The sequence below is a fragment of the Homo sapiens genome, chromosome 3 (assembly GCF_000001405.40).
Source record: "Homo sapiens chromosome 3, GRCh38.p14 Primary Assembly".
NCBI lineage: Eukaryota > Metazoa > Chordata > Mammalia > Primates > Hominidae > Homo > Homo sapiens.
The window spans coordinates 99,905,333-99,928,464 of record NC_000003.12 but is presented as its reverse complement, the minus strand read 5'-3'; the positions used below and the strand labels follow the sequence as shown (position 1 = coordinate 99,928,464).

Sequence of the window (23,132 nt, the reverse complement as noted above, 5' to 3'; positions counted from 1 at the left end):
TTGATTACTCCTCCAACAGATACCCCTATATACATACACCTCTCACATTCCCACCTCCATGATCTGCCAATTTTCCTCTCTTTCCTCTACTTCCCCCTTATGGATTTCTCTGTCCTCAGATATCAGTTTATGCAATTCCTCGAAGCCAAAATAACTCCACGTACACAACCCAGTTGTCTATCCTTTTCCTCGGTCTAGGAAGTACTAGGTGAGAGGGGAATGCCCCGAAAATAAACAGTGAAGGGGAATTCTGCCTAGGATTTTCCTACACAGGGCTGAAGAAAATAAAGGGAGGGCAGTGCTCCTGCTGAGACCAGCTGTGACTGTATCCTAATTACATGAGAATAAGCATCTTGAATGCTAAAGTTATTCTTCTTTTGCATTCCCCCATCTTGAAGTGTTAACAGCCCCTTCTCCCTTTTATTTTCTTCATAATGTTCTTTTTGAAAAACCTAAAAAATCTCAATCATGTCTAGGGTAAACTAGAGGTGATTTATCTAATTCTTAAGGCAAAATAACTTAGAAGAACAAACAGCTCTCGGTTACATGACACGACAGGAACACTGACTTAAGATGAAAAACTGGTGGAAGCCTGTGAGCTGGAACATGCTTGGGGCTGGGGCTAGGAGCAGAGGTGTGGTCAAGAGGGCGGGAAGAGGCAAGGACTCAGTCCACAAGAGTTTTGACCTCCTATTCCTTTCCAGCCTAGGGTTCTATATCAGAACTTAATTTTAAAAAAAAATTAATAGCCTAAGGTATTCTTAGTTCTTCCAAAAAATATATTATAGAAAATATGGGCCGGGCGCAGTGGCTCATGCCTGTAATCCCAGCACTTTGGGAGGCCGAGGCAGGCAGATCACCTGAGGTCGGGAATTCGAGACCAGCCTGACCAACATGAAGAAAGCCCGTTTCTACTAAAAATACAAAATTAGCCGGGCGTGGTGGCACATGCCTGTAATCCCAGCTACTTGGGAGGCTGAGGCAGGTGAATCGCTTGAACCCAGGAGGCGGAGATCGCGATGAGCTGAGATCACGCCATTGCACTCCAGCCTGAACAACAAAAGCGAAACTCCGTCTCAAAAAAAAAAAAAACAGAAAGAAAATATAACAACATTTTGGATTTACCAAGGCACTATAATAAAAGAGTCTCAGTATTATTAGCATAACCTAGGGCAAATCTTAAAATACTTACCTTAAGCAATGGTATAATTAAGCTTTTAAATTTAATTTTATTCATTTAGTTAGTTAATATGTATTGAAAAGCTCATGTATAGGGAAAGTTTTGGTGAAAGAGGAAAAAAGATTTCCAGGTCTTGGCATTGAAAAAAGCAGTCTTGAAGCACCATGGTGAATTGTAAGAACTGCCTGAAGTCCAGTGTGGCTGAAAGTTGGGTAGGATCGGTGGGAAGATATGGAGTGAAGATGGGGCCAAGGTGGCAGGAGGTTCAGATGGTGAAGGGCCTTTTGGCCCCGAACAGGAGAGTGGAGTCCCAGTGGTGAAAAATCATGCTGTCAGTGATGAGGACAGACTGCAAGGAGGTAAGGCTAGAGGAAGGGAGACCACTTAGGGGGTCATGGAATAAATGAAGGGCACGGATTCCTTCTAGCCTTCTTTCCATTCCCTTCAAACAACCACGAACATATAAAGGGAAAAAAACAATGGAAAGCAAGAGTGGATTAAATAAACCTTCTATTTTCTCTCTTTGGTTTGTATAAAATTTAATATACATATCTTGACAATTACAACAAGCTCTCCAAGGAAATACTGTTTTTGGATTTAGAAAAGCCTCTTTTAGTAATTCATTTATGCTTTACTGAATACCTACTATAATTATTCATACATTAATTCTAATGTCAATCTTGTGACAAATTAAATTGAATGTATTTTCTAAGTCAACTAATAACTTCCCTAAAGTAAAGCTGATCCTATCACTATTTCACTCTCAAATTGCAAAAGGAGTTGATTTGAATTTTCCTTACAATGGACTCTAATGTTTGGGCAACTGAAGATAAAATTTTCAGAGGGCTGCAGTGGTTTGAAACACACTTCCATGACAATCAACACTAGAGCCTCCTCAGAAGATGCCTCTGCCAGCAGGCAATACAACATAGCAGTTTCAGCTTTCACAAAAGGACTGGCTACATTAAAAATCATCAACAATTGTATGGCATAATGAAGTATTTTGTGAATTTAAGCATTTAGAAGTCAGAGAGAATTTACTGGGTTCTATATGCTGGGACACCTCAGTTGTACTCTTTTTCTGAAATGACTTGGTCATTTTGTGCCCAGATTTCTAGTCAAGTACATTTCTAGTCAAGTACATGCTTTTTAGGATACACAACTTAAATTGGCTTTAAATTCACAATGAGTCACACATTCTAAATCTTTTATGACAAAGGCAAACTGTAAAAATCAATCAACATTATCACTTACTGCATCTGTATCTAATCTAGAAAGTCGGGTGTTTTCAAAACCAAGTTCTTAATAGATATTAATTTATCACTAGCAAAAGATCCCGAGTTAGCTCTTGCCAACATGTTTTTCTGGTGGCAGCTTACCCCGTGCTGGGCAAAATGGAGCTCAAGGCCAGGAGCTGATAAACCAGCCCAGTGAGCTTGGCTGTCTAACTCCATCTGACTGTGATGCTTTTGGCCACTGGCATGTTCTTTACTGCCTGGTTCTTCCTTTATGAGGTCACCTCCACTTCCACCAAGTGCACTTGGGATATCTGCCAAGAGCTCCTCATGTCCTTGGTGCTCTCACTCTTCCTAGGCTATGGAGTCCTGTCCTGCTGCTGTGGCTTAGCATCCACGTATAAGCCCCTAAGGGTACCAGCTGGACAGCTTCTCTGAATCCCTACTTTTGTTAATCAAAAATTTTTTTTAAACTACTGCTGGAAGTGTCCCACATGCTGCTCACAATAAAGGCAGATGTGTGACCAAACAAAACAAAACAAAAAAAATCTCAGTTTCCTTGCTTGCTTGTTTTGTTTCCAGTCTGTAAACTGGGCACCTCTTATAAGCAAGGCACTCTGTTAGATGCCAAGGATTAAAAATAAAATAAAAAAAGAAGGATGTAGGCCCAGCTTTCAGGGAGTTCACAGTCTAGCAGGGGAGACAAACACATGTATCAGCCACAGGTTGATCATTTTGTAAAAAAGATGTAAGTATAGTGCTGTGAAAATCTGAATGGACTTAGTACTTACATTTGGTGACATTCACACTATACACCAACACATAATAGATTATCTATTCATAGATCTATTTTAATGGAAATACCTTGATGTATAATAAAATGAAAATCATAGCATGTCCTGGTAGAGCGATCCAAGAGGCATATACTGGTACAGAGAACTATAGGGTGGGCTGGGGCAGAAGAGATCAGCTAGGGCAGCTGCGAATCCAGCACCGTGCAAGGATTCTCTTACTTCCTGTCATTTCTTTAATGTAGCTTCTCAGGAGAGAGACATAAGAGTGTCAGAAAGAGGTTATGTGGAAACAGTTGATACCCACAGGGACACAGATTATTCTGTCAAGAAAAATTTGATGGCAATAAAGAGACTACATTTGTATTGAAATGCACCCAAAAGTATCAATTAACAAGAGAATAAACACTAAACAAGGAGATAAAAAACCCACTGCTGGCCGGGCGCCGTGGCTCATGCCTGTAATCCCAGCACTTTGGGAGGCCGAAGCAGGCAGACCACTTGAGGTCAGGAGTTCAAGACCAGCCTGACCAACGTGGAGAAACCCTGTCTCTACTAAAAGTACAAAAAAAATTAGTTGGGCATGGTGGCGCATGCCTGTAATCCCAGCTACTTGGGAGGCTGAGGCAGAAGGATCGCTTAAACCCGGGAGGCGGAAGTTGCAGTGAGTCGAGATCGCGCCATTGCACTCCAGCCTGGGCAACGACAGCGAAAACTGTTTCAAAACAAACAAACAAAAAACCAAAAAAACCCACTGCCGAATTAATCAAAACAGGGACATTTCTAAAAGAGTGAAAGACAACAGTATATAAACAATTTGGTAACAGGCTATAAATGTTTTCTTTCGTAGTTGGACAAAGTTGTGGAAAAACATAAAGAATCTTACAGACGAATCCTGGGACAGCTTTTAGTGGCAGAAAAATCCCGTAGGCAAACCATATTGGAGTTGGAGGAAGAAAAGAGAAAACATAAAGAATACATGGAGAAGAGTGATGAATTCATATGCCTACTAGAACAGGAATGTGAAAGGTAAGGCTGCTTTGGGCAAACAATGTCCCATTCTGCAATCTATGAGCTGGCCACTGTACCAGGTCTCAGGGATACAAAGATAAATATGACACAGTCTCTGTTCTCAAAGATCTCATAGTCCAGGGTGAGGAAAAGGATATGTTTGAAGACATTATCAGTACAATGTATGGATAACCAGATGTGTGATAAGGACTGTGGAACCATAAATGTTAGGCCCCTAACTCTTGAAGGGAGTGCCCTGTGAAGGCTGCAAAGACCAGGCAACAGGGGTCTAGTCCCTAGGCAAACAAGAATGAAAACCATATTCATGGCAAGGGGTGAAATAAGTGTGTTAGTATAGAAGTGAGAAAAGAACCTGCATTTTGAGGGAACTCAAGCTTTTCACATGGCTACAGCATAGGGCATGATTGTAGGATGAGAAAAGGAAAGGCTTGCCTTGAGCAGCTGGACTTTATACTGTTGGCCTGAAGGAGCAAATGGAAAATTGTGAAAGGGAAAATAAGATGATCAGTTATGCTTTCCTAAAGAACGATTAAGGGAACATGGAGGAACAACTGGAGGAGCTTTAGACTGGGCGCAGGAAACTCACATAGGAGGCAAATATCCAGATGAGAAAGATGAGGGGATGTGTTCCAACAGCCATGAGGTTGGGAGGGGGGTGTGCGCATGAACTACTTATGATGTTTAGTCAATATGAATTAGTGACTGGTTAGACTGGAAAGAAGAGCAAGGAAAACAAGGAGTTACTGAGAAGCACTCCTGGCTATTCAGGAACATATGAAATATGGGAATGGGGCACAGTTTTCTGTGTTGTAGGATTTTGATCAGGCAGGATGGTTTCTACTTGGTGAGTAGGTAGGAGATGAGTCCTGGTTTAGACATGTTGAGTATGAGGTACCTTGGTATATTACAGTATCTGGTGTAAAGAATAATATGTATAAAGTCAACCCATGGTCAGAAATATAGGTCTGTAGAAGGATGGGCTGGTGATATGGACCTGCAGCAGGTGATAGCTGAAACTGTGGGTGTTGGTGTGGTGAGAAGAGAGAATGTTGAAAGGGAACCCTAGAATACATCAAGGCTTGGCAGTTTTCTGGAAGAAAAAGGGGGTTGAAAATGGAAGCTAAAAAAAAAAATGGTGGAAGCTTAGAAGAACCAGAAGACAAAGAAGGCAATGAAATGAAGTGAGCAAAGACTTTAAAAAGAGAGTGAACAGTCAAATAGCACCAAATAATGCAGAAAAGAATGAAATGTCCCAGGATTTGGCAATGAAGAAAATACTGAGGAACTTAATGAGCCATTTCAATAAAGTGGTAAGGGCAGAAGCCAAATTGCAATGCTTTAAAAAACAAAATAAGAAATAAGAATGTAGAAGCTTAAAATGTGAACTAGCATTTTGAGAAGCGTGGCTGCAAAAAAGGAGAGTTTGGTTGGTAAATATTTTCTAACCATATGTAGGGTAGATTATTTTGTTCTACTTTGACCCTCTATTCTGAACCACTGTAGACAGTATAAGCATCCATATGAAACTGAAAGGACAATTAACCCTCTCTATTGATACTGAAAAGATGGAAAGTAACCAATCTCAAATGGCTTATTCAACTACTTCCAATTCATACTTCAGCTAGGTAACTTAAGTTAGTTACCTCAATATCTAGGCTAATAGCAAACTTTCATTTATTTTCCATATACTTTATGGTAGGCATTTTTTCGGAGTGCCAGAGAATCCATGGCACTTATATTCACTCTATTTTTTCCAGGAGGTTTATTTTTCACTACACGGCAGAGAGGGGGCAGGGGAAAGGTCCTACTAACTTGCTCCTCATGAACTCTGAAATATCTACAGGGACAGATTAAAGGAGCACAAGAAATCTGGCACCAAAGAAACATTTGACTCAGACATTACAATATAAGATTTGTTATTCAATGAGACAATGTTATATTAAACATTATTTTGAACCCCTGTGGTTTGGCACTAGTGGCCTCATTTGGCCTCCATACTTATTTGGCACTAACTTGCTGAACACAGACACTTTCTTTCATCTTTCATTATTATGAACATTTACTGATCACGGTCAGAGTGTTGCCTGGCATAATACAAAGAGGTACAGACTGTCCCTGCCCAGGGGGCTTACCACATTAATGAAAAGGCAAGATGATACAGATTTATGGTGGGAATGTGAAGGGCTATTGGAGGAGAGTTCTGATATTCACTGTGTATCTCTACTATCTTCTGGAGGAAGGCTGGAGAGGGCTATCCTGAAGTTATACTGGAATGTTGGGAGGCAGATGGCAAAGATTATTTAAACCAAGAGAGCAAGAAGGAACAACACTGAGAAATGGGAACAAAAGATCAGTGGGGATAAAGGCCATGGGCTGGAGGAAAAGAAAAATTGTGGGAAAAATGTAAAGTGTATACTACTAAATCAATATATGAAGAATAGTATTTTGAAATATATAAAATGAATTTAAGAGAAAGAACTTAAGAGATTACTTTTAGCTTTATAGGATATAAAGTTTCCTTTATAGGATTCTTTACCTTGAAGAATAATTAAAGTGAACATGCCATTAACAAGAAGTAGGAAAAAGTGTCTATCACTCTGTTTAGCCATTCCAGAAGATATGAGAATATTCATCTATTTCTATATGCCAAGGAACACCTTCCAGATGGAATTCTTTGAATGTGACAATATTAAACCTATTCTCAACTCCCTTGATGCATATGTGACTTCCCTTGCTTTGCCTGAACATCACAATTCCAGTATCTTGGTAGTGTGGGCCCATTCACGTCCACCCTTCATGCTTTCCTGCCTTCTGCTGGGAGACTGCAGGCCTCATGAGGCATAACTGACTTCTATCTGCTTTAAGGCCATGTGCATCAAAGTAGTATTAAATGAATACCATCTAACGAAACAGGAAGTGGGGGAAACTAATGACTTCAGGTAAATAAACGCTCAGAGGAGGTGCTTACACACAAGAGTGTGAAATACCCGTAGTGTGCCTTGCTTTCAAGTGACATGGCAAAACACACCATGACTGAGTCCTTCCAACTTCACTGAGTGCTTTCTCTCAAGGACACAGCTGCCTCCCACAAAAGTGAGACTAACTTATCCTGAAGGGTCAAAGAACAATGTTTACTTCCTTCCTCAAACAAAGTGTTGTAAACCACTCCCAAACTAGCAACCCTCCCAGCAGTGAAACAAAGATATCATAACCCCAGTAAAAGGGAGGTTGGTTGAAAATAGATACAAAGGGGTATCTGGTTGAAACTCTGAAATAAACACGGTAAAGGTTTACTGCTCACATTCTAAGTGTTGGTTTGTATCTACCTGGAAATAAAACAAAAATTAAGAACTACGTGATTGAGGTAGTTAATGAGACCTCAGAGGATGTAATAATGGATTTCAAATTAAGGCTCAATTTCTGTGTTTTCTTTGGAGAATTTGTTTTATGTGGAAAACCCTAAAGGAGACTGATGTCACACATTGAGCTCAGGCCAAAATGTTTGCCAAGTGATGTCGCTGTCGTAATCAGTAAGCAATTGGCTTTCCCACTGAGGGTGGGTGGGGGCAGGGATCAGCTCAGGAAAGCCTGTTCCCAGGCATGTTAATGCAAAGTTTCCTTAGCTGTAATCTGTGCGGTTTGGTCTGTCCATATGGTAATATTCTATCCATGTTTCATGACAACGTTCACTGACCAGCTCCAACATGTGGATACGTGTGTCACCAATGACCTGAATTATGTACTTGGCTGAATTACAGGTGGAGTCTATGTAAAAGGTTTTTTACACAAAAGCAATGCCAATAATTTTTGGCCTTTCTGTGTGGCTTCACAGTACTTTTAGTCAATGTAATTTTGCAAAATTTTCCCATAAGTGAAATGCCAATTTTGTCTGTACTTTCAAAAAAGCTTGCATATTTTTTTTTCTTTTTCAGTTTCAATGGGGCAAAAGGCTCTGAAGAAAAAAAAGAGTTGCTTTTTTTTGAAACCATGCATTCTTTCTTAGAATTCTAAAACAAACTATGTATGCTATCCATATATGTTACTGCATTTCTGGTCTTGAAACAACAACTAAAGCAGGAAAGAAATATTGTTATGGCAGCTCTGTATAAAACTGTGGCTTCAACCATGGATTGTGTTAAAGCCTTAAATTACTTTTCATAAAATCTTGGCCTAGTAGGTTAGCACTGATAGTTCAGTTTTGTAAATCAGAAGTTCAAATGGTAGCTTCTCAAACACCACAAAGAAAGGAGTCAAGGTAGAATTAATCTCTTGTTCCTTTTCTGTCCAAGTTTGACTAGATAGAACAGTGGTGCAGAGGCCTTAGGGCCCTTTGGAGGAAAGTCACCAGGTGTCCAGCTTCAAGTGTTGTTGCCTTGACCACACCCTGGGAAGTTCTTTGCTGTTAAGTTTCAATGAAGAACAAAGCACTTCCACCTCTCCCTTTGGCTGAAACAACTTTATAAACAAGTATTTTCACCATCAATCCTTTTCTATTATGACAGGCCTATTTTTCCAGACTGCATCAGACAAGGTGACTAAAACACTGCTTGAGCCATATTTGACCCTACTGTTAACTGAGTAAATCAGACCACTTTTAAAGGCTTCTCTCAAAAACATCAAATTTTCTTTCTAGAGGATTTGGAAACCTCCTTGAAATACATACATGAATGAGTTAATTTATCTAATTTTTAGGTTAAACTCATTAGTTTGGAGCTAGTGCTACTTGCCATTCATTAACTGAAACAAAACAAAACAAAAACAATAATTGATTAAATATATATGTCTACTGCAAGCCAGGTCCCATACTAGATACTGGGCGAACAAGGTAGATGTGGTCCTCACCTATACAATCCTGAATATTTGTTCATTGTGTAAAACAAAGACACCACTGCAGGCTTTAAGACCTGATACTGATTCTTCTAAGGCATTATGAGTTCATGACGGGTAGAAAAAAAGGCACCACTATGGTAAACTAATGTAATAACATTAATGCTCATGAAGACAGAACATTCAGGAGAAATCAATAAACACATTAAACTAAAGTATTTTACTAGAGAATTCAATATCGTGCCATTAAGATTTTCAGTTTCTTTGGTCTTAAATCTCAGCTTTTAAGGGTATCCTACAAAGCAATACACAGTGGGTATAAAGCTTTAAAAAAATAAAGTCTACTTAAAAAAAATATTTTGAAAGCCAGCAGTTTTAAATTTCATACACACTAAACTATTGTTGTAGAATACATTGTACTCAAATGCAATCATTTCCTTTCAGTTTTTCTGGCAAGGAGCTATTTGTATTACATATTCTCAAGACTATGTCTTACAAGTATTGAAATGGATGCCAGATCTCCATTTGACCTTTGTCATGGGCATCTAGTTCTTTGACAGAACAAAATGGAGATCCACTGCAAACAAATATTTTGTTATTGTAATTCTATACAGAATTATGACATGATCAGCCTTGTGTTCATACATGCTGGACCTAACACAGGATCTGAAAAGGGATGCAGAGAGATTAATTACCTCATGTGGGTACTAAAAAACCATTTAGGACCGTCCATCATGACTTAACTTTCAACAGATGTCATAAAACCATACTCTTAAAACTGCACAATTCAGCGGTTTCCATACAATGCCTTTTAATTTCAGAGGTCAAAATTCAGATAGAGTGACAATGCTACCTGATTGCTTTTCCTTCCCAGAAATTTAGTTTTCTGAACTAAATTTTACAAATAATTTTGAATGTGTATTTGAACATACATGATAGTGAGTTTATTGCTTACAAAAGAATACTATGAATGCTAAAAAGAAAACATTAACAAGCCTAGTGAGGGATGAACCAGGAGCTTAGAGATAGTGGCAGTCTGGTCTGCAGACCTGATCTGCAGCTATGTATAACTTTTGGCAAATTCCATTCCTCAAATCTTTAGTTTTCTGGTATATAAAACAAGGGGCTGGGCGTGGTGGCTCACACCTGTAATCCTAGCACTTTGGGAAGCCAAGGCAGGGAGATAATGAGGTCAAGGGTTCGAGACCAGCCTGGCCAAAATGGTGAAACCCTGTCTCTACTAAAAATACAAAAATTAGCCGGGCGTGGTGCCGCGCGCCTGTAATCCCAGCTACTCAGGAGGCTGAGGCAGAAGGATCACTTGAACCCAAGAGGTGGAGGTTGCAGTGAGCCGAGATCACGCCACTGCACTCCAGCCTGGGCAACAGAGCAAGAATCTGTCTCAAAAAAAACAAAACAAAACAAAACAAAAAACAAACAAACAAGGGCAGGGCATATGATTATGATTTCTGTGTCTCTTTCACACCTAAAAATTTGTGATTATGTGATTGTCATGAACAAGTACCTTTTACCTCAAGCCTAGGATTCTAACTCCACTACCAAAAGAGGTCAGTGAGAATGACAGTGACTACCACCAACTTTAAATCCAAATCTGTACATCCATTCTTAAAGGACATCTAGATTTCGGTATACCCTACTGCTTCCACATATTTGAAACTTAACCTAATATCACCTTTGCACATCCAAGTCCACTCACAACTTTTTTATTCCTGTTAATACAACCACCATGAATCAATCTACCAGATAACTATAAAAAATTACAGAAATCTCAGAAGCCAAGAATTTAAGCTAGAAAAGACCTAGCAATCTAGACCAATGCTTTGATTTTTTGAATTGAGAAAAGTGAGGCCTCTCAAGCCCAAGATAAAAAAAAGTCACCAAATCTTCCAGCTAAATAGTTGCAGAGTCAGAGTAGAAGCCAGCTCTCCTGACAATATATTTGATGATATTCTAGAGAATATCCCTAGAATCATTCCTAGGTACTCAAACTATGTGCCTGGTGTTACGGGAGGTCCAAGATAAATTTTACACACAACTAAAATACAGGTGAAAAGACAAGGCACTCAAAATAATCTGTAGATAATTTAGGAAGAATGCAGGTGTTCATTCTGTGGCACAGACACCACTGTTGCAACACTGTGGAAGATCAGGCAAAAAGGAGATTAAACACAGTAATTATCCAACAGCCAGCACAGCCCTAGGAGAATGCAGGACATACAGTAAATACTCTATAATACATCTACTAACTAGCTGGTGGTTACTAGTTTAACAGCCCTATAAAACAGGTAGCCAAAAACTGAATGTGGAAAGGCAACCTCAAACTTCTGTTCCATTTGGACTAAAAAATATAAAGAGGAATAAGAGCCACTAAACCATATCAAAATAGAAATTTTTGCCTCATAAGTGAAAATCAAGGTGGGATATTAGAATTAAACTGTATCCTGAATTTGCAACTCATAGGTAAACTTTCCTGGCAAGTGTATTAATTCTTCAGATGAGAAGATGAAGCCAAACAGCTTTGGCCAGCCGTGAAGATGATGGCTGGCACAAGTGATGAGTGAGTATCACTGCACAGAAAGGCCTTATGGAAGAGCACAGGGTATCAGAGTTAAAAGCATAGACTCGAGTTAGAACAACAAACGTGGAGCATGGACCATGAAGCATGGTCCCATCCTCTCATCTGATCCTACTGGCTATTTGACCTTGGGCAAAGCATTTAATCTTGTTAAGTCTCCGATTCACCATCTGTTTAAAAAATGATAGAGATCTCATAGGTTCCTGTGATTACTAATTATATAATGCACAGCAAGTGCTAAGTAAGGTGTCTAGCACATAAAAAGCACTCAGTGACCATTAGCACTGTATTTGTCAGGGTCCTCCAGAGAAACAGAACGTGTGTGTGTGTGTGTGTGTGTGTGTGTGTGTGTGTGTGTGTGTGTGTATAAACCGTTATTATAAAGTGTTGGCTCACATGATCCTGAAGGCTGGGCAGTTGCATGAGCTGCTGTCTTCAAACTGGAGACCCAAGAAAGCCAGTCATGTAGCCGAAAGACCTGAAAGCTAGAAAATCAATGGTGTAGATTCTATTCCCAATCTAAAGCCCTAAGAATCAGGAGTGGCAAGGACAGAAGATTGATGTGCCAGTGCAATTAACCCAGGCAGTTAATTCAACCTGCCTTCAGCTTTCTGTTCCATTCTGGCTCTCAACAGATTGCAGGATGTCTACTCACACTGGGGAAGGCAGTCTACCAACTAAAATGCTAACCTCTTTGGAAACACTCTCACAGATACACCTCAAAATAATGTTTAACCAGCTATTCAGACATCCCATGGCCCAGTCAAGTTGACACATAAAATTAACCATTACACGTATCTTTCTTCAAATTTGCCTTTCTTCAAAGCAGTTTACTTATGTACTCTGCATGATACCAATAGGTATATTTTTGAGTTGCCAAGAAAGCATTTATGTAGACCCTATACTGGGTTCTAATAATGTGACAATTAATAAGAGTTTTCAAGTGGCATATTGTTTAGTATAGGGGAGACAGACATAACATCAATAAGTGCAATGCAAAGTTGCAGGCTAATGACAACAAAGGATACAGAGGAGGCAAAATAAGGGCTTATACTCAAGGCATGGTTGTATCCTATTTCCTTTAGTGTAGGAGAATTGCTGAATGTCCTAATGATCTAACACTGTATAACACTGAGCTGGGCAAGACAGTGCTCTGTGAACTTTTTTTTTTTTAAACCATTAAGACTCATTTCTTCTTTTTGGTAAATCACTCTACTTAGAGAAACAGAAATGTTAGTTTGGTGGTATTATGAAAAATGTAGCCTTCCAAATATGCGAAATCAAGACTGAACCAAAGTGAGGGTTTTTAAGTACATCCAAAGTCTCCAATGCTTCTCTGGCTTGCCACTGTCAAAAATCCTCACACTAATTGCATCTTCTTGTCTAAAGTTATTATGAAAAATCAAATATTCCCACTCTAAGGTAAGCGGGCTTACTTTTGATATATTTTGTTACACAGCCCCTTCCACAGGACCAAGAGTATGGGAGAGGTAAAATAAATATTTTTTTTGAATGAGTGAATGAAATGTAGGAAAAGTTGGCTACATTTTAATCTATTATTTTCCATTAATCTCTCATCATGAATTAGCTTCTGGATTCATTCCCTTCGGTTAGCATGGTCATGGGAGAATGGGATATAAGACAAGCCCATTTTGATGAGGAAAGCAGAATGAGCTTAAGAGCATTGGGACTATCCCCAAGAAGGCAGAATTAAGAGCATATGGTGCCCTTATCATGGAGCTAGAAGAAAAAAAATGATCCTAAAAGGGGATTTTAAGATTAAACACATCAGAGACATTAACTAATCACTAAAAACAACTCACTCAATTCATACATTGCAGTTTTTATATCCAATATTTTTTCACTAACAAAAACATCATGACCATTTTCCCAAATCACCAACTACTCTACATCACAATGAAAGTAGATGAATACTACTGTATCACACAGGTGCATCACAACTTATTTAGCAAATTCTCTGTTGTGGGCATTTATATTCCTCCTTTGTCACTAGTATAAAGAACTCTATCCTGAATGGCCTCACATTCCAATGAATTTTTATGCCTTTCTGATTATTGTTTTAGAATTCTTATATGTGAAATTGCTAAGTCAAAAGTTATGAACCTATTTAAGTTATAAAACCTATAGCTAAACTGCCTTCTGTAAAAGATATTTATACCATTACTAACAATGAAGAAGAGAACCAATTTCTTACTTTATAACTTTACCTGAGACTAGTCTTGAATCTGACCTCAATTTAAACATGATATGATGTTGTAAAGAGTATAAAGTGAATGTTAATGACATGAATCAGACTTTCCCACTGACTTGGGCTTTGTTTAGAGATGTGTTACTTCTGGAAAAAAAAATCTAACATATCAAAAACACACTTAAAGATTATAACATTTTATTGAAAGAGTATTTTCACCTTGTCAATATAATTTCAGTATATTTCCTTTTCCCTATCAAATTCAGGTTCTCATGGCCTAGCATCACTGGTCTTCCAAAAATAAAAAAACTTCCATTGCTCATTCTCTGAAATGTCTGAGGCTTCCTCCTTCATATATCCTATATCAAGTCTTAGAGTCCAAATCCAGGATCCTGGCTTACCTTTCTCACCACATGACATATTTGGCAACAGCTCACAACACTCAGTACTGGCCCTACATGGTCCTGAAAAGTCTGATTTGTTGAAAATAGTGGGATCTAAGGCCCACTTTGCCAAATTCCCTCTCTAATTTAAATTCAGTTAGTTTGGAGTGTTTGAGAATTCTTTATCAGTTTCCTATTTAACTCAATTTCTACTTGCCAATCCTCACTTCTTTAAATTTCCTCCCTACTTATCATACACATACACTCCATTTATTTCCATGAATTTCTCAGTAACACTCTGAAATATCCGAGATGCCTGACAAACTTGTAGCTTCAGAAGATGTTTCAGAAGAAACGCATTAGCAAGATTCATGAGACTGAATATGTGTTTTCTACGTTTTTTCTTTTCTTAAAAATAAGTAATTTCCAACTCACAGCTTTTTCACACTATATCTTGCATATATGCTTCAGGGTCACGCACATAGCCCTGCTCTCACTTCCTACTCCTCAAAGATAATCCACCATGAATAGTTTCTTGTATTTATCTTTAAAAAGATTATTACAAGCATATATCAGCAATTCATGAAGATCATACAATACTTTTTCTATTCTTTTTTTAAGTGGTTGCATATTATTCAATTTTATAGATGCAATTCATTTAGCCAGGCCACCTTATGAGCTTTAGATTGTATCCTTTTTATTTCCTATTAAACATTCTTTGGTTAATTGATTCTCAGTAACTTCAAATGCCTCTTACTTTCTACTTTCCTTTAGAAATAGGTTAATCACTGGTAACAGAGAGATACCACTTCATATCCACTACGATAACTTTAATCAAAAAGATAATAACAAGTATTGACAAGGATGTGAAACTGGAACCCTCATATGCTGCTGTGTAGTAATGTAAAATGGTGCATTGGAAAATAGTCTGTCAGTTCCTCAAAAAGTTAAGTGTAGAATTATTGCCTTAGTCCGCTGGGGCTGTGATGACAAAATACCAGAGATTGGGTGGCTTGTAAACAACAGAAATTTATTTCTCACAGTTCTGGAAGGTGGAAGTCAGAGATGAGGGTGCTAGAAGTATTCTGGTAAGGGCCCTCTTCTGGGTTGTAAACCGCTGTCGTCTCCTTGTTTCCTCACGTGGTGGAAAGTGGGTGAGAAAGTTCTTATGAGGGTCACTAATTCCATTCATGAATGCCCCTCTAACCTCAAAACCTAATTATCTCCCAAAGGCTCCACTTCCTAATACCATCACATTGGGAGTTATGATTTCAACATAAGAGTTTGGGGGGACACAAATATTCAGTCCATTGCAGTTACCATACAACTCAGCAATTCTACTCTTAGGTACACACCTAAGAAGATGAAAACACATGTCCACAAAAATCTGTACACAAATATTCACAGCAGCATTATTCATGATAGTCAAGAAGTGAAAACAACCCAAATGTCCATCAACTGAGGCATGGATAAACAAAACTGTGGTATATCCATGTAATGGAATACTACTTGTCAATTGAAAAGAAGCTCTGTGGGCCAGGTGCGGTGGCTCATGCCTGTAATGCCAGCACTTTGGGAGGCTGAGGCAGGTGGACTGCTTGAGCCCAGGAGTTTGAGACCAGCCTGGGCAACATGGCAAAACTTCATCTCTACAAAAAATACAAAATTTAGCTGGGTGTGCTGGCATGCACCTGCAGTCCCAGCTACCTGGGCGGCTGAGGTAGGAGGATCACCTGAGTCCAGGGAGGTCAAGGCTGCAGTAAGCCGAGATCACGCCATTATACTCCAGCCTGGGAAACAAAGCAAGACCCTGTCTCAAAAGAAAAACAGAAAAAAGAAGCAGCAGCCCTGTGCCCATTAAGCAGTGACACTACAGCCGCTAGAAACCACTGATCTCCTTTCTGTCTCTATGGTTTTGCCTATTCTGGGCATTTCACATAAATGGAATCATACAAGATGTAGCTATTTGTCCCTGTTTTCTTTCACTTAAAATAATGTTTTCAGGGTTCAGACATGTTGTAACATGTATCAGTATACTTCATTCCTTTTTATGGCTGAATAAAACCAAAAAGGTCAGTATGGATGTATAACTTGATTGATTTAAATGACCAACAAGATAGATATAAAACTATTGATGATAATGTAGATTTCTCATGAGATAAAGTTTCACTGTGTTCTTAACACTCTAAAAATTAAAACTTTTAATGTTATTAGGAAGCAAAGAATAAAGACTTGGAACTGAAAGCAAATGATTATTTGCTGGAAAAAAAAAGAGAGAACGAACATTTTGGTTATATGTGAAAAGAGAGAAAATGGGGGATATTTGTTATCCATTCTTTCATTTAACTTAACACTATGCTTGGAACTAGGAACTAGGAAAAAAAAATAATGAAGAAGACATGGATCCTGTCTTTGAGGCCCAGGTGGAAACATAAGTAGAATGAGTTAATTAATTGTGAGCTGTAACAGAGGCATGTACAAGAGTGCTCAAGGATCTGATTAGAAAGATGGATTAGCTCTGCAGGGAGCGAATGTGAAGGTTTCCCAGCAGGCAGCAATTAGCTTCAAGGCTGAGTAGACTTAGCAGGCAGAGAAATGCACTCACAGGTACATTAAAAAGATAAATTTATGGAGTTAAGCCTCGGGTGAGGATGAGTATTTTAGAGCCAGGGCATACAGACCCTGTATGCCACAACCTTGGATTTCCCCTTTATCCTGAGACCATGAGACATTCGTCATGCAGAAAAATCTCAACCCACCACTGGCAAGTTGTTAGAGAACCTAGAGTGTATACAGGCCTTGTGTTAAGTGTGTCTAGAGTCAAATTTGGAAACAACTTAACAATAATAATACTTATTATTTTGTTATAATAACATATAATATATATTATATAATATATAATAACAAAAACAACAACCAGAAAACTATTACGAGCAAAACACCCAAGAGAAATGGATTTCACATTATCCATTATTGTACAACTTCCTGATAAAAACTTACTTTACAGCCAAATAGGATTGAAGAAATACATTTCCATTTGGCTGAAGCAAATGGAAAAATAAATCTCATTTCATCCTAAATCCCAGAAAGGGAGATGTGGGTGTGTAATGCGCTACCTAATCCCTTTGCCTAGCCTAAAATTGGCTAATTACAGCAACATGTGAATGAACAAACGGCAATGAGATATAACCAACTGGAAAAGAGAAAGAAACAGGAGCGTCTATTTATTTCAACTGTAACCTGAGCTCTGCCAAGAAGACAGGCCAGTCTCCATCTCTTCATCCTTGAAAAGGGTTGCTCAGCTAACCTTACTTAGAGAATATAACTGCCTTTGGCCATTGTTTGAGTTTGGGCCCAAGTTTCTTGGGCAACATTAAAAAAAATAACACTAGTTATGTGTTGATGCTTCCATCTATAAAATGGGCATAAATATTCTAGTTATCTACTTTCTTGCATGAGGGTTCTGAGAAGAGTATGGGTAACTATTTGGGCAAAGAATTTGAGATCTATAGGCCAAAGGGAAAATATAAACCCCATAAAATGTTTATTTACATATGGAGATAATAGTTAGAATTATAGCGTATTACTTTTTTTCAGCCTAAGGGCTAAAACATAATACTCCCCAGGTTACCTACAAAAATTGTTTCCTTGGAAAGTGGTAAGGGGTACTGGATATAACAACATGCATCTGCCACTTCACCTAGCACCTAACAACTGTGAAGACATGTGTTTGTTTACTTTAAAAGCTCTCAGTGATAGGAAGATTTATTAAAGAAATGAAACATTTCACCTCTAAAAGCTCACAGAACCCTGTTTTTGTTACATTAGTCTTGCCAGGAGAATTCTGAATGTGTTTGCATTCTATCAGTCGACAGTGTGAGTCAGTGTGTCCCAAACCAGTTTTCTAACCAGAAAGCTGAGAAGTTTGATGACACATTTAGGTAAACATACTCACTGGATGAAGTTATTTAAATTTTTATAGCCTTTTAATCCTCTCTAAGCCTTTGAAATCCATACAGGTTTTTAGACAAGATTTAAGTTCTTGTAAGTCAAAGAATAGAAATTACGTATAAACCAACTCTATTAAGAATTTCACAGGTTCTGGACATCTAAGAATACCTAATATTATACTTGAAAGTGCAATGAGGGTGAGCTGACCCCACACTGAAGCCCTTCACTGTTAAGTAATCAGCCTTATTCTTAAACAAAATTTCAGCTCTGAATACACATTTTGCCCCGAGAACTGAAATTTCTCACTCATTTTGGTCAGATGACAACAGCTCTTGTTGACAATGATAAATGAACTCTGAATATGAAGGGTTCACTCAAGTGAAAGAACAGGAAAGGGGTTGCAGACTGTGACTTTCATCACCTACTCTCCATGCAATTTCAGAATTCAATAGGCAGTTGAATGGAAATGGAATAAAAATGTGGCAAAATATACACTGAGGTTATCTAAATTAACTATAACTGATAGCAACTTTAAGTTATTATGAGTTAAATAAAATTAGCAGTGTGATGGACTTTTTTCATCTGTATGATGAAAAACATGACACACTTGATACCCTATTATTAGCAGTATTATTATTTCTTTATGCAAAGATTTTTCAAGTAAATCTACTCATTCTCTTACTCTAGAGAGTTTCTGCTTCACCTAAAAGAAATCTTGCCCTTGCCATGAATGATTATGTCTGCAGGAAAATTTGACTTTTCATTATTCACAAATTTGTTAACAAGTAACTATTGTACAAGGGGTGGCTCTAACTCCTTTTGATACCATGACTCCACCCACACCCCAGACCCCCTCACCTGACCCAAGGCTTCCACATCATTCCTACATGGATATATATGAAACATACACAAGCACATGGTACAGTGTATACACACAATCAAAATTCAATTTATTTTGCAGGTAGCACCACCAAACCCTAGCTCAGAGTACCTCTGCTCCATTTTCTGTTTGGTATTGGATCAGACAGAAAATTAATTTTATGAGAAGAGGCCAGAACTTGAAACAGGTGTCTCCCTGCATGTCTTTCACCCATAGCCTCAACTTGAAGCTCCTAAATTATGACACTTTAGCCATCTACTTGTTCAAGAAATGCTGCACTAGAACATTTGGTTCTTACATTTTCCAGGTAAGCATTCCTTTGATGGCCTGTGCACACACACATGCACACACAAAGGTTCTCCAATAATTTTTTTAAGTATAGAGTTGTTAACTGGTAAATTATTCACAAAGAGTAAATGGGGTCAGAGTAATCTCACACAGAATTTTAACTAAATCCCTGAAGCTAATTAAGATTCCCATTAAAAGAAAGAACACACACACACACACAATAGGAATTTTTTTTTGTAGATGGTAGATTCTATTTTGTATATTCTATACAAAAAATACAAAGAAAGGTCTCTTGTAAATAACTTGATAATTAGTGATAATAACAATTACATTTAATTAAATATTTACTGTCAAACACTGTGCTAAGCACAGTAGATTATCTCATTTAATCCTCCTAACAACCTTTTAAAGGAGGTAATATTATTGTCCACATAATATTCAGATAATCACCCTGAAGAAGCTCAAAGACAGTAACTTTCCCAAGATCACACTGCTAGTAACTGGAGAGGAGAATTAGGCCTCAAGGACTCTCATATCTGAGCTCTTAACACTTCTTTGCCAGTGGTTCCCAAACCTAAGTGATCATCATTATTGCCTGGGGAGACACTTAAAAGTATAGATTCCTGGGCCCAACCCCAAACATACTGAATGAGAATCTCCAACAGTGGAACTTGCAGATAGGAACATAATGGTATTTCAAATATGGTTCAAATGTTCTTTTAAGATGCCAAGAGAACACGAGTGAAGCCAGTTGTCACATAGTTGTCTAAGTCAAATCATCTGCCTTCAATAGAAAATAGCATCTCTTTTTCCACATATACCTCTTCTCACTTTATAATAGAAAGGTCTTATTTGCTAAAAGGTCAAATTAGGTAATGGACATACTATGTCAGCAATTTGTACTGACATATCCAGCTGCATGGGCTATGTTATGGAAGATGAAAGTGATACAGCACAGAAATTCTGCTGATTCAGAACTGCCGAGTTAGAACTTCACTGACAGAGAAGACACAAAAACAATTGGACAGTTTAAAAATCCTTGGCCATGCTCATTGCATGACCAGATCAATATTTACAAATATTCAATACACAGTTTCAGTACCTGAAAAATTTACTTATCATCTAGTTCATTTATTCATTCATTTCAAAATGCTTACTGAGTTCCTTCCATGTGCCAGGCACTGGATCACACATATGGCCCTTGCCCTCAGGAGGAGAAAAGCATTCAGGTGGTGGAAAAAGAGGTGATCACTGATTAGGGGATCAGGAATGGCTTGATCTCCTAATGGATCCAGATAGCATTAGCGTTGCACATTAAAAGACAGACATAGTTCAGACAAGGAGAAAAAGAGAAGGGAACACAAAAATCATTATAGGTGGACTTAATAGCATAAGGGAAGGGGATTAGGGCAAAAAGAGCAATCAAATTCAGGAAAAAGCAAGGAATATGGTTTGGCTTAAGTACACATAATGTGAAAAAACAGTGGAAGCTATGGGTGCAATGTTATGTTCAGCAAAGAGCTGCAGATGTCAAAATAAAGGGGTACGCCAGGTGCGTTGGCTCACGTCTGTAATCCCAGCACTTTGGGAGGCCGAGGCGGGTGGATCATGAGGTCAGGAGATCAAGACCATCCTGGCTAACATGGTGAAACCCTGTCTCTACTAAAAATACAAAAAATTAGTTGGGCGTGGTGGTGGGCGCCTGTAGTCCCAGCTGTTGGGGAGGCTGAGGCAGGAGAATGGCATGAACCCGGGAGGTGGAGCTTGCAGTGAGCTGAGATTGCGCCACTGCACTCCAGCCTGGGCAACAGAGTGAGACTCTGTCTCAAAAAAAATAAAAAAGAAAATTAAAAGGGTAATAGGTAGTTAAGATAACTATTCCACACCATTCCATCAGCACTATGATAACGTGACAAAGTATTAAGAGTACAAGAAGCTGAAGATCTGAGTTGAAGGGCTGCTTCCAGTATATGCTAACCAACTCTGTGTATTTGTTGAAGTCTAAATAACAGTAAGAGTCCCAAAAATATGTTTATTTAGGTTTAAATATACTCTAATTATTCAAACAAGTTTTAAATTATCTAAACATTATTTAAATAAACTTAAATATTATTTAAATAAACTTAAAAGTCGTTCTGCTCCATGAAACCATTCAGAGTTGTCTTCATCCACATGATCAATACTGAAACTCTACCATATCTCTGTTATAGGGCATGGTAGGGAGTTAGGGCATGGGTGGGGAAAATGGCAAAATACATGAAAAGTGTCTTGCTTTCAAGTTAGGGATGACCATCTCTTCTACTTATAGTTCAATGATCCAATCCAAACTCACATAGCCACTTCTCAGTACTGGAAAAGCTAGAAATGTCTGGTTGGGCAGCCATATACCCAGGAAGAGGGGGACAATTAAAGTTTTGAGGAAAACTCAGTCTGCCACAATCTTAGTGCAAACCACTTAACCTTTCTGTGTTTCAGTTTTATCTTCATGACCTTGAAGAAGTTAAAAATTTCTTGAAAAGAACATAAAGTCACCAATCATAAAAGGTTAAAAAAGTAAGACTTTATTGAAATAAATAAGTTATGTTAATCAAAATACAACAACAGGATGAAAAGGCAAGTTACAGATTGGGAGAAGATATTTGCTTATGTATAACCAACAAAAGACTCACATACAGAATATATGAACAACTCCTATAAACCAATAATTTAATAAAAAATAAGACTGACAACCCAATATAAAAGAAACAGACTTGAAGGGGCCTTAAAGAGAATATGCAAATAAGCATGTGAAAGGGAGTTTCAACATTATAAATCATCAGGGAAATACAAATTAAATTTACAACGAGGGAGTACTACAGCCCTACCAGAAAGGCTAATATTTATTTACTTATTTAGAGACAAGGTCTTGGCCCTGTCACCCAGGGTGGATGGAGTACAGTGGTGCGATCTCCGCTCACTGCAACCTCTGCCTCCTGGGCTCAAGCGATCCTCCCACCTCAGCCCCCGCAGGTAGCTGGGACCACAGGCATGCACCACCATGCCCAGCTAATGTTTGTATTTTTTGTAGAGACAGGGTTTCTCCATGTTTTCTAGGCTGGCCTTGAACTTCTAAGTTCAAGTGATCTGCCTGCCTCAGCCTCCCAAACTGCTGGGACTACAAGCATGAGCCACTGCGCCTGGCCAGAAAGGCTAAATAAAAAGATATTACCAAATGTTAAAGAAGTGAAGCAACTAGAGTTTGCATACATTTCTGATGGCAATGTAAATTCCATTTATATGAAGTTGCATTTCCATTAATATGAGAGTCCACATGCATGCAGTCCAAAACAGACAGAATTAATCTACAGTAATAGACATCAAATGGTGGCAACCTCTCAGTAAGAAAGTGGATATCAACTGGAATGTGCCACAAAGGAGGCTAGTGGCAGAGTTGGAAATATTCTATAACTTAATCTGGATAGAGACTATATAGTACACACATATGTAAAAGTGTATCAATCTGTATGCTTAATATTTGTGCACATTTAGTAAAAATAAATTATACCTCAATAAACGAGAAAAATGGAGAAATAATGATTATGCTATAAGATGTAAAATGGAGTATGTTACATGTTCTAAAGATGCAAGACATACAAAGACTAGACCAGCAATTGCTGTGGGCCCTGATGACAAGAAGATTAGTCCTAGTAAGAGCAATTAGAAGACTGGTAGAGGACAAGAGAGTTTGGCTTTGGAATCCTGTGGTTGAGGAACTGGTGAG

The 23,132-nt window shown here is 38.4% G+C and overlaps 2 protein-coding genes, 1 long non-coding RNA gene and 1 pseudogene across 6 annotated transcripts in view; 2 read left to right on the top strand and 2 right to left on the bottom strand.

Annotated features, from left to right (window-relative positions):
• The window catches only part of CMSS1 (cms1 ribosomal small subunit homolog), a 363,871-nt gene that overhangs the window by 253,268 nt on the left and 87,471 nt on the right, over positions 1–23,132 (bottom strand). The gene's annotated exons all lie outside the window — the stretch shown is intronic.
• Positions 1–23,132, bottom strand: part of LOC105374010 (uncharacterized) — a 223,532-nt gene that overhangs the window by 112,929 nt on the left and 87,471 nt on the right. The gene's annotated exons all lie outside the window — the stretch shown is intronic.
• The window catches only part of FILIP1L (filamin A interacting protein 1 like), a 285,691-nt gene that overhangs the window by 186,037 nt on the left and 76,522 nt on the right, over positions 1–23,132 (top strand). For all 4 annotated transcript variants that reach the window (NM_001387852.1, NM_001387850.1, NM_182909.4 and 1 more), the window contains exon 4: positions 4,057–4,235. In NM_001387852.1, the coding sequence (NP_001374781.1) occupies positions 4,057–4,235 (179 nt within the window). The remainder of the gene's footprint in view (positions 1–4,056; positions 4,236–23,132) is intronic.
• On the top strand, positions 2,575–2,816 carry TMEM258P2 (TMEM258 pseudogene 2; annotated as a pseudogene).